Consider the following 12,462-nt stretch of genomic DNA (forward strand, 5'->3'; position numbering starts at 1 on the left):
AGGCAGCCCAGTGCTAGGGTAGAGTGAGGACACCTGCTCAATGTCCACTAGTGTTATAGCACGGGAGGAGGACACCCTACCAGCACTGCCTGCTACCCCAGGAGGTGGCAGACCTGGAGGAGGACACCCTACCAGCACTGCCTGCTACCCCAGGAGGTGGCAGACCTGGAAAGACTAGAATTTGTGTGCAGGCTTTTTTTCTTCACTGGGATCTTTTACAGACTTGAAAAATTATTTTTATTTCCCTCCTGAGCTATGTTTTCATTGTGGGCCAGACAATAGAGCTGTCAAATTTCTGAAACCTGCTTGCCTAAAATCTTTGCCCATACTCATCAAGGTTTACTCCAGGGAAGCCCATTTTTATTTACTAGCAGCTGTTTTTATCCTCTCATGTCAAGCAGCTCTTCCTCTTTGGTCAAACCTGATCCAGAATAGGTGTTTTCTTTATAGTTTCTTCTACCCTCTAAGAGATGAAATGAACAGTGTAGAGGCTAAAGACTTCATCAGACCCTCCATTTTGTACAGAATGAGTTATATAGGTCTACAGGCTCAACATTCCCAGTTTCTAAAATACTTTGCCTCTATGCCAGGTGGTAGCTCTGAATTTAAAAAGCATTCTGGGCCTGGATGGCTATCCATGAACTACTGTCACAGTATTACCATACCTTATTTTTTCTCATTGTATCCTTACTCACATGCCTTCCACCACGCTCTGACCATATGGTTTCAAAATATCTGTATTTTCCATGCTTGCTCCAGCCTCTGACTTCTGTAATACCTGTGTCTCTGAAGCACAATTTACCTTTCCATTCCCATGATGTTTGTTTCATAAAATTTAGTGCTGTCCAAAAACAGTGCTGTCCATGACACTGTATTTGCCAATTTGCCATCCACCACCTCGTGTTAAATGTGAGGCTCCCCTCGTGTGTTATTTGTCTTCATCATGACGGTTGCATGAATACCTGAGGCCCTGAGTTGCATTCCTGATGTTCTTTCAACACTTCTAACTCTGCACATGTTCAGCACCCAAACCTCTGTAGCCACTCATTCATTCATCTATTCAGTCATCATCTTCCCAGCATGTTGTGTGCCAGATACCACGTTGGTGCTGGAATACAGCTCAAAGAGCTTCCAGGCCATTTGGGGAGACAGAGACAAAAACACAATCCAGGGTGATCAGTGCTATGGCAGAGAGAAACAGAGTGATGTGGGAGAGCCAAGGGGGGTTCCACCCAGCCCAGAGGAACCAGAGAAGGTGTCCTGAAGCAGGACGGGCTCTACTGAACTTCCGAAGGATGAGCAGAAATTAGTCTTGTGAAAGGGAAGGAGGAGAGCCAGTATTCAGGGGACACACATTGCCCCAAGTCAGAAGAATGCCACCAGTTGTCATCTGGCCTGGCCATTGGTCAGGATCCATGTGGAGGTGTGACATGGAACTGCAGCCATAGGAGAGCTGGCCAGACGGGCTTCAGGTGCCAGGTTGGGAGCAGTGAGCCCCCACTGAAGGGCTGAGAGCAGGGAATGACTTGGGCAGGTTATGTGTTGTGGGGCTCACTCAGGCTGCTGTGTGAGCCTGGATTCTGGGGGGTAGGGTGCAGAGGAGACGGGGCACTCCATGCTAAACTGAGTATAATCGAGTACCACTAGCTAAACAACCAACCCACCAACAAAACCACTCCTCTCTGTGCTGCCAGAGCTACCCCTAGACCATTGTTCATCTGGGCATTTCTCAAGCAGGGGTCCCTGCTGTGCGGGGGTTGGAAGGAATATCAGCAGGGTAAACACAGGAGCTGCAGGTGATAGGAAAAGATCTGAGGTTTAAGTGCATCTGTCACAATAGTTAAAACCCACCTGCCCCTATCACAAAAGCAAACATGGTTGGGCACACATTCCCTTGGGCTCCTTCATTATTGTCTGTTTCCCTTTCAGATGTGCCCTTGGGGCCCATTTCAACTGGATCTTTCCTAGGGGCAGTGGTCAGTGCAGGCTAGTGAGGCAAGCTCAGGCCTTGAAGCTAGACCAACCTGGGGTCATATGCCTGCTGTGTCACCTGCCACCTTAACTTTTTAACCCCAGCTCTCTCCTCTGTAAAGGAGTGTAACCATGCCTACCTTGCAGGGTTGCTGCAATGGTTAGAGATGATGTTGGTAAATGCCTGGTGTGGAATAGGTGCTCATTTAATGTGAGCAGTAGGAACTGCAGGGCCTTCTGCAGTCTGGGGCCCTCCCTTTAATACCCCTAAACAAGACAGAGTAACAGCTGACGAAAGACTAGAGTCAGGACTTCCAGGCAAGAAATATTACAGCCTCTTTTGTAATGTCGCAAACTGGAAACAGCTCATTAAAAGGGAAATGTTAGCATGAACTGTGGCTTTTGTCTCTAAGGAGTATTAGGCAGCTAATCTCTCTCTACAAAGAAAACTAGGAAAATGTCCACGAAAATCTTTCACTGTGAAAAGCAATGTGTGGTATTTTATGTACTATGATATCATTTGTAAGATTAAAAGAAAAAAAGGCTTTCTCAGACTATATGGGTTTGTAGGATTTCTGGACAGGAGGGATGGGAGGAAGACCACACCCCAGAGTGCTAATAGAGATTATCTCATCGGGTTAGGACCTTAGGGGGTTGAGGGATGATTATTAACCCTTGTCATGCCCTGTACATTATTTGATAAAATATATCAAGCATGTTTTACTTTTATAATTTACAAATCTTAAGGAAAAAAAAGACCTAGACATGAATTCCAGATCTGCTTCTTATAACCTAATAAGTTATTTAATTTCTCCAAGTCTCACTACTTGTTTGCCAAATGGGAACAACCCTCCTCCTCCCAGAGTTTTGAAATTTAAACACATTAATTCATAATTTATTCCACAAACAGAGATTGAGAACCCAACAGGGCCAGGCACCATGCTGGGGCTTCACCAGTGAACAAGGTTGATATGACACCTTTTCCAGCAAATGATATATGGCACAGATGTTTATTTGCCCAGCCACACAGATGAGTGACCAACAGTGGCAATTTTTGCTTTGTGGCAAGAAAGAGGATTGGGGGATGATTTGGGAGTCATGAGCTTTTGGTGTCTTTCCCAGCTGACCTCACAGGGTGCCCCCTGCTCACATGGAGTAGGGCCTGGAGCAGGCAGGGACTTCCTGTGCTGTGTTCTCTGCAGCAGCCTCCTTCCTCCTGGCTTGTGTTTCAGTTCCAAAGCCCAAGAGGAGAAATGGGGTGAACTTCTCCCTAGCTGTGGTGGTCATCTACCTGATCCTGCTCACCGCTGGCGCTGGGCTGCTGGTGGTCCAAGGTAAAGCAGGCTTGGTCCTGTGTAGTCCCTCCTGGGGGGAGAGGGGTGACCCAGCTGGGCCCCTCAGATGAAGGGCTCAGGTTGAGTGGAGAGCCTCGGGCCACTGCTCCCATCTGCTGGGAGACAGTCTCAGCCCCTGGCAGCCACAGTGATGAGAGGAGCAAAGAAGGAGTGTATGTTGTGTGTATGTGTGCCTGAGGGAGGGAGAGAGAGAGACATTGAGAATGCTCTTGTGAGCCTATGTGTCTAAGCAGTGAAAGACATCATAATTTCACACGGGGGATGACACACACTTCTGACATCTAAGACTCCCAGCCTCTGAGTGGGAAGGGCTTTGCTGATCCAAGTGTCCATTTGAACATGATTTTACTTTTGAAGTATTCCCAATCTAAAGGTTAAAGTCATGAAGTCGTTCCATGAGCAGACACTGAAGTCACTCAAGAACGCTGAATGAGCAGTTGTCATAAACACGTCTTGTGTGTATTAAGATCACACACGAATGCTGCTTGCACATATTTAGGTCAGACCAGCATGTTAGCTGTCATGCATCTACACCCAGAGCATGCAGGAAGGTCTTAACTGCCTGAAGGTTGGAGATTGATTGTGGATGCAGTAGGCACAGCTTTAGGCCACGCAGAAATGTTTTGTGGACGTGCAATATCATGCCTGAGTGTGGAGCGCACATGGTCAAGATGTAGAAAAGGCCGTGTGCTCACGCTAGGTCCTGACAGCACATGGAATTTGTGTTTACAAATTCAGGGCCTGTAGAAGTTATGCACACATGACACAAGAATGTCAGGGATATGCTCAAATGCCTCAGTCCCTAAAAGAATGCTGTGGGGTGGGGCCCAGTTCTGAATCTGCAGGCGCGGCTCCGGGTCCTGGAGATGTATTTCCTCAATGACACTCTGGCGGCTGAGGACAGCCCGTCCTTCTCCTTGCTGCAGTCAGCACACCCTGGAGAACACCTGGCTCAGGGTGCATCGAGGCTGCAAGTCCTGCAGGCCCAACTCACCTGGGTCCGCGTCAGCCATGAGCACTTGCTGCAGCGGGTAGACAACTTCACTCAGAACCCAGGTTTGGCCTCCTCCCCTCTGGGTCAGGACTTCTCAACAGAGGTCTGGGAGACAGCGGGATCAGGAACCAGGAAATTAAGGACCCTGTCCAAGCAAAGTGTGACCTCCAAGAGCCAGGGACTTAGAGCAACCAGCTCAATGCCAAGTCTGAACCCAGAGTCCCCACATGGATCCAGAATGTCTGGGAGGGAGGGTAAAACACAGAGCCTGGGGCGGTTCCCTGGACCACTCCCCCACAGCTGACTTACACTGACATGAGGTTGGGGAGAGAGCAACTGAAGGCACCAAACTAGTTCAGACAATGTGGGGACTTTGTGGGGAGGAGGACACCCGGACCTGCTGGGGGAAAGGTGGTGACTTGGGTGGTAGGGCTGCAGGCTGGGGAAAATTGAGCCAAGGGTTAAAACCCCAAGGGTGCCCCTTCCCTCGGTGCTCTCAGGGCCTTGCAGCTGCACCCTCTCCTCTCTCAGCCTGCCCCAAAATGGGAAGAGCCTCGCCCTCAGACAGTTTCAGCAAAACCAGCTGCTAGGTGTGGCTCAACTGTTGTAGGGTTTACCCCGTGACACAGAGCTCCAGCCCCAGCAGGGTTCCTTGCTCTGGGCCCTGTGTGAGCTGAGGCTTAGGAGGGTGATCCCATGGCTAGGTCCTGTGACCAAGGGGTACGCCCAGCACGGGACCCAGGAGGCCAATCCCTCCAGAGGCTGTGGCCTCCCCAGGGAGAAAAGACGAAGGCTGAGTGGGGGTGTGAGGAGGGGCGATAGCTGTGGGCAGATGGAAGGAGTCCACGTTCAGACACAGACACCATGGGAGTGTCTCTTCCTTCCTTGAAATGTGAAGGAGCTCATTTTGACCAATACGAAGGGGTTCTACCTCCTCAGGCTGGTTTGAAGCAACCTCCTTTCCCCACCTCCAAGACTCCCAGGGATCTACAGGTCTCGGGGTGCAGTCCGCTAGTTGCAGCTGAGCATCTGGCTCTTTCCAAGGACTCTTTCCCAAAAAACAGCCAGGTGCTTGGCTCCTGTTGTCCAAACCCCCACAGTCTGATGGGAGCCCCACACAGGAGGGCTTACCCTCCCACTGCAGAACCTGGGCACTCTCAGTTGGGGCTTGGGCCAAGGGTACCCCACAGCTCAGCTGCAGCTCACTCTCCTTCCCTTGCAGGGATGTTCAGAATCAAAGGTGAACAAGGCGCCCCAGGTAGGTTCATTTCCACTCACACCCACCCTGCTCTTTCCCCAAAACCTCCCCAAAAGGGCCCCTTGGCCTGTGCCATTCTGGGTCTGGACAGCTGACCCTAGCTTACCTTCCCCTGTCTCCACAGCCTCCTTTGTCTTCAGTTGGGTCTCCTCTCTGTTCCCAGAACTTAACTGGACTCCCAGACCCTGGGCTGTCATCCCCCTCCTTACTTAAAGAGGCTTCCTCTCTCCACTCCCCCATCCAAATCTAGCTACCTTCCCAGGCCAGACCAGGCATCATCTGGCTGCCAGGGCAGCCTCTCTCCTGGTTTCCTGTAAGCATTCCTTCCAGGTGACTCTTACCTACCACATACATAGCACTTCCCACCAGAGGTGCTGTGCTCATTTCCATGGTGTCTCACTCCTCTCTCCTACAGGGCAGTAATGATGGGAGGCAGGTGTCATGGAGGCGCAGGCTGTGCGGTCAGGCCGATCTGAGTTCTAATCCTGGGCCTGGGGCTTACTGGCGGTGTGACTCTGGGTCAGTTACTTAAGTTTTCTGGAGCCCCAGCCACTCACCTGTGTAGGAAGCAGTGGAGATAATCGACTCGCCTCACAGAGTTGCTGTAGGACTCAAGGGAGTGCAAAAGCTGTCTGACAATGGCATGTGCTCTCTGAGGACAAGGCTATGGTTGTTTGCCTTTTCTTCCTGCCTCAACCCACATGTGTTGTGTTACACACACGCTTCACTCACAGCCCTGTTCCATTTCATCTGCTGAGTGGTTGAAATTTCCCCCTGAGGATAAATATACATGCCATTTTTGGGACAGAATCCTTTGGTCCCATAATATTTCAAGGATGGCCCAGATCACACCATTGGCCAGGGAGGGTTTTGAGGCAGCCTTGCAAAGTGATGGAAGCAGGGACTTGGGAGACTGGTGGGCCTACAGAAAATCCTGGATCTGCCCCTGTAAACTGGGTGGCCTTGAGTAAGTCACCTAACATTTCTGAGCTCTATGTCCTCCCCCGTAAGATGGAGATATGGTAGGACTTCCTAGGATTGGTGTCAGGATAAAACAATAAATGTACACCTCTTAGTCCAGTGTCCAGCAAAGAGCAAGTACTCAATGATGTTCTTGTCTTCGTTATTATTATGACTATTATTTGCTATTGTTATATATGGTTGTTATTCTGTTATTCTTGAGAAAACTAAATGCTGCTGCTAGGAGAGCCTCCAGCCTGATGAATGCTGGCTCCTCTCCTTTAAGGAGGGGCAGTTTCAACAATTTCAATTGCTTTTGCTGACAGAATCAATGCTTAAACTTCTTCTCAACCCAATGGGTTCAGTACAACCTTCAAAATCTGCCTGTCACCCGCCCTAGGCACAGTGCTGCCCACCTCACCCCAGAGCACAGAACATGGCTTCTATGGCTCTCTCTCTCTCTGTATGAATATAGATGTGCGTACATAGAGGAAAACTCCAACTCTCTCTCTCCATGTCTCTCTCTCTGTCTCTCTGAATATAGATGTATGTACATAGAGAAAAACTCCAACTCTCTCTCTCCATGTCTCTCTCTCTGTCTCTCTGAATATAGATGTATGTACATAGAGAAAAACTCCGACTCTCTCCATGTCTCTCTCTCTGTCTCTCTGAATATAGATGTATGTACACAGAGAAAAACTCCAACTCTCTCTCTCCATGTCTCTCTCTCTGTCTCTCTGAATATAGATGTATGTACATAGAGAAAAACTCCAACTATCTCTCTCCATGTCTCCCTCTCTCTCTCTCTGAATATAGATGTATGTACATAGAGAAAATCTCCAACTCTCACTCTCCATGTCTTTCTCAGTCTCTCTCTGTCTCTGACTTCTGTCTCTCTCTCTCTCTCTCTGTCTCTTCCCACTCTTTCTTTTTGTGCCCAGAAACCAGAGACAGGAAACTTCTTCCAGCAGCTGGGGCTATAGAAGTCTCGGCTCCTCCTCGGACACCACCTGCCTCTCCAGATTCCCCGCCCATCACCCTTTCCCACCCAGGGAGGCTGTGTTCTCTCCCCTTCCCCATGGCTTGCCTTGCCTGGTCAAGACTTCCCAGAGGTTCCTTTGTTGAAAAGGCTCCAGAGACAAATAGGTGGGTGGGGGAGGAGGGCTGGGTGTGGAACCCAGAAGTCATGGTCTCACTGGAGGCAGCCTGCCGGTGGAACTGCCTTCCCACGCAGGCTGCCTGGAACACAGTCAGGGGAACTGCTCCTCAGCCAAGCTTCAGGGAAGGGGATTGCGAAACCCACTTGCCTCTCTGTTTCTCTCCCCTATCCATCCTGGACTTCTTTCCTTCCTCCCAACAAATACCTATTGAAAGTTCCATGAGGATGAGAAGTCGCATAGGCACTGGGGATCCAGACATGAAGAAGACAGACAAGGCCCTGCCCTTGTGAGCCTTCCTGTGAGCTTGCCTTGTGTGTTTTCCATGATGGTCCCCACGTGGTAATCTCAGGACATCCCTGTGTAATTAGTACACTAATTCCATCTTACTGATGAGGGAGCTGAGGCTCAAAATGATGATGTAACTTGCACAAGGTCACCCAGCTAAAGGGGCAGTGCTAACACCTGCTCCTAGGACTGTGACTCAGTGTCTCTCTTTTGCTTTCTAGGCCATGGGTTTCTTGCAGGAGGAGCTCTGTCTTCTTTCCTTCTTTCCACACAGTTGGCTCATCCCCATGCTCAGTGAACGTTTGTTGAATGAATCACCATGTAAGTGATTGCATGGCGTTGTTGCCCCATCCTGTTGACTGACTCATTAGTGTCTCTGTTCCTCTTCCTCAGGTCTTCAAGGTCACAAGGGGGCCATGGGCATGCCTGGTGCCCCTGGCCCGCCGGGACCACCTGCTGAGAAGGGAGCCAAGGGGGCTATGGGACGAGATGGAGCAACAGGTACGGGTCTTTTTCTTCTGACCCTTAATCATTTTCCTCCTCCTTCTCTGGCTTCACTCTGAATTCCCTTTCCCTTCCAGGCCCCTCGGGACCCCAAGGCCCACCGGGAGTCAAGGGAGAGGCGGGTGAGTAGGTGCTGGGTATGTACCCAGAAATACACAGCAAGTTTCTCAGAGTGACTGCTGTGGGCTGCAGACGCAGCCTCCCTCCAGAGTCTGGACCTCTGAGGGGTCTGTAGGTGAACGGAGGCCTGGTGGGAGACCCCAGAGGGGATGAGAGGCTGGGAAGCACCCTTTCTGGTGGCCAGAGTAGGGCTGGGCAGCCGCCCTCAGGGGCAGGTATGGCTAGATGGCCTTCATCCTAGATGGGGCTGGGGGGTGTGACTCCTACCCCCTCCTCTGTGTGAGAATGTAAGTCTGCCAGTGCCACTTTGGAAAGTTGGCCTCCTTGGTCCAACAAGGACTCTGGTGTCAGGCACATGCACCTCCACCTTGGACTAGCTCTGTGCCCTTGGGAATGTTTCCTGATGTTCCCAAAGAAACCGAGCCTCAGTTTCTTTTTCTGTGATTGGGGATGAGAGGGCTGCAGAGGGCTGCCAGGGGGATTAGAGACAATGACACAAAGCTCATGATCGTTGCTTGGAAAGTATTAGTTTCCATTTTTTTAGACTGTTGCCTAATTCTGCCCAGCCATCTTATTAATATAAATGGGTTCACGGGGCCCGGTCAGAGAATGGGGGGCCCAGAGCTGTCCCTCCCCAGGGACAAACCCAAACATCAGTTTTCCATTCCACTCTGCTCCCATCCACCCTTAATTTAGAAACTCCAACTTGCAAATTCCGCAAGGGGTTGAGGCTGCTGGGATGTGAAGATGCGAAGACATTAAGACCTTTACTAGACAAAGGGCAGATGAGAGGATTTACAAGGGAGTGGGGAGTAAACAAAGCAGGTCTCTAAGCCGCCAGGCTGCTGAGGCAGAAAGAAAACACCACCAGTTACAAGAAAGGAAACTTGTTAGGAGGTAGAATCCTCCAGAAATTGATTTTGGGAAGGAATTTAATAGAAGGGACCCCAAAGAGCCTATTGATCTGTGTCCAGCAGGGGGTTTTCTGAGGAGGGTTTAAGCGGGGAGGATAGGCAGACCAGAAGAAGGAAGGTTTATGGTGCAGTCAGAGGTGTGCACATGCATTCACACCACACACACTCACACTCATGTCTGAGGGCACATCTGTGCACATACTTGCATTCTCACACTCACTCACGCACCAATGTAATCACACTCATGCACACACATGCACTCACATACACACATATACTCATGCACATATATGCACTCACATACACGCATATACTCATGCACACCCGTGTCTGAGCACACATCTATGTACATATTTGCATTCTTACACTTGCACAAGTACAATCACACTTGTGCACATATGCATATGCTCACACACATTTGCAGACATTCGCACCCCCCATGCACACACACTCACACTCAGCCTGTGGGGGCTTGAGCAGAGCAGGCTCACTCAGAGGGGAGTGGGTCTCCCTCCATCCTCTTTCCTCCGAGAGAGAGGGACTCAGGCTAGGTGACTGAAACTCACCAGAGTGGAGCCACTGAGGCTGGCTTGAAGGGAAAAGCCAGAAGCCTGAGGAGCACAGTCATTTCCTTCAAGAAGGAATAGAGCTGGAGCCTCCCCTTCTCTTTAGGACTCTGACAGGTAGGCACATCACACAGCCTTGACAGAGGGCTCAGAGCAGGACTGTGCAACCACTAGCACTAAAACCAGGCAACCCCTTTTTCAGCCCAAATCATCTGGAACCCACATACATGAAACAGATCCACAAAGTAGGCTGTTGTGGTTCCATAGAGAGTGTGGAGTCCAGAGCCCATCTGCACTTTCTGCTTGGGCCCCACTGGCATCCTCAGGAAAAGCTTGTGTAATTCAGCAACTCACTTAGAGCCTCTCTATATACACCCACCTCCTCTCACTCCTCTCCTTCCCATCCTTTTCCACTTTGCCTCCTGGATCCCTCAATTTCCCCTCATAGTCTCACCATTTCTCTCCTCAACAGATCCCTCCCTGCCCCTGCCCCTGCCCCAGGAACACCCAGCACCTCCAGTCTGTACTCCATATGCTAGCCTTGGATACCTGGGCCATGTGGGTGGGAATCACCGTTTCTCAATTCCAATTTTGTCTTAGAACACTAATTATGCATCTGCTGAGGACAGGTAGTCATTAGCAGCCCCATTTTACAGATGAGAAAATTCAGATGCAGAATACTTAAGTGACTTTTCCAAAGTTATCAGCCTGGGGAGTGACAGAGCTACAATTCAAACACACTTGCCTGACTCTAAAGCCTTTCCTGCACTGCCATGCAGGACATATTCCTAGGTGCTGTTCTGGACCTTTGGGAAGAGAGCTGTCTTAGCCTGTTTTGTGTCACTACTACAGAATACCTGAGACTGGGTAATTTACACAGAATAGAGGTTTACTTAGCTCATGATTCTGCAGGCTGGGAAGTTCAAGATTGGGCAGCTATCTCTGGCAGCTTCTGGTGAGGGCCTTGTGTTGAGTCAAAATGTGGTGGAGAAATGGAACTAGCTCTCTTGGTAACTAATCTAGTCTCACAAGAGCAGGAACTCACTCCATCTTGCCAGATGGGATTAATCTCTTCATAAGAGATCTGTCTTTGTGACCCAAACACCTCCCCACTAGGACCTGCTGCATTAAGGACCAGGCTTCCAATGCATGAACTTTTGAGGGACACTTTCATGCCATAGCAAGAGCAAACACTGCCTGGAACTGCCAGGGACTCTGCTGGTTGTGTTTGTGCAATCATATGTGTGTGATTGTGTGTGTGCATGTGTGTGAAAAAGAGAGAGAGAGAGAGAGTGAGAGTGAGAGAGAGAGAAAGATCTCCTTCTGGGAACCTTGCTCAACTAAGGGAATCTAGAATGTCAGCTGATTAAAGACATTTTAGACATTCTCAGGCCACAGCAACTGAGCTCTTTTTTCCTTCCTCACAGGCCTCCAAGGACCCCAGGGTGCTCCAGGGAAGCAAGGAGCCACTGGTAACTTGTACTTGCTCTGCTAGGGACAAATGATGCATAGCCTGAGGCACTGAGGCAGTTCCCCCCCACCCCCCATCCTCTTTCCACAGCCCCACCCCAGCCCCTGACAGTTACTGCCCACCCTACAGTCCTCTTCTCTTGAGTCCTGTCACATTTCTTCAAGACCACCCAAGAAATGAGCTAGCACATCCCCCAGAGGAAATCTGGGGATCCCATTCCCTTCTCTCCCAAATGCTTCCTGCCCCTTTGCCTCTGGTAGCCTGTCCCCAAAAGGATAGTGGGAGCCCATCTCACCAGCCATTCTCTTTGCAGGCACCCCAGGACCCCAAGGAGAGAAGGGCAGCAAAGGCGATGGGGGTCTCATTGGCCCAAAAGGGGAAACTGGAACTAAGGGAGAGAAAGGAGACCTGGGTCTCCCAGGTGAGGGCCGTATTGGGGGTGTCGGTGCTTGCCAGGAGGCCTGAGGGAACTAGGGCCTGACCTCTGTGCCATTGGGTCTATTCAGTGCCCACTGAGGGCAAGGCAGTGCTCTGTCTATGGGAATCTCTGGAGCACCACACATAGTCTCTTCTTTCCGGGTGAGCAAAGAGATGCAATATGAGAGGGAGAACAATGTCATTCCAGGCATGACTATGGCAAGCTGGGGCACAGGCAGTGCTAGGAGCTCAGAGAGGAAGCCAAGGGGATGAGGAGAGTGGGCCTGCACTGGGCCTTGGGAAGCAGGGCAGACTGACTGGTGGCAAGGGCAAGGGGATTGATTCAAGGAGGGAGACCCCAGGCAGCCAGAATCCCCCATTGACTGAGGGTGCTATCTCTAGAACAGTGTTCCTCAAGCCAAGGGCCAATATCATAAGAGCTGTTTGGGTGCTTGCTTAAAATGCAGGGAGGGCTCGAGGGTCTGTT

General features: G+C 50.4%; 1 protein-coding gene across 4 annotated transcripts in view; it reads left to right on the plus strand.

Moving 5' to 3' along the window:
- The window catches only part of MARCO (macrophage receptor with collagenous structure), a 52,467-nt gene that overhangs the window by 23,763 nt on the left and 16,242 nt on the right, over positions 1–12,462 (plus strand). For 2 of the 4 annotated variants that reach the window (NM_006770.4, XM_011512082.3), the window contains exons 2-8: positions 3,204–3,305; positions 4,158–4,382; positions 5,543–5,578; positions 8,377–8,484; positions 8,565–8,609; positions 11,515–11,559; positions 11,872–11,979. In NM_006770.4, coding sequence (NP_006761.1) covers positions 3,204–3,305; positions 4,158–4,382; positions 5,543–5,578; positions 8,377–8,484; positions 8,565–8,609; positions 11,515–11,559; positions 11,872–11,979 — 669 coding nt within the window. Of the gene's footprint in view, positions 1–3,203; positions 3,306–4,157; positions 4,383–5,542; positions 5,579–8,376; positions 8,485–8,564; positions 8,610–11,514; positions 11,560–11,871; positions 11,980–12,232; positions 12,451–12,462 lie in introns of those variants that run through there. The other 2 variants (XM_017005171.3, XM_011512083.4) reach the window with 2 other exon arrangements.

This window comes from Homo sapiens, chromosome 2 (assembly GCF_000001405.40).
Source record: "Homo sapiens chromosome 2, GRCh38.p14 Primary Assembly".
NCBI lineage: Eukaryota > Metazoa > Chordata > Mammalia > Primates > Hominidae > Homo > Homo sapiens.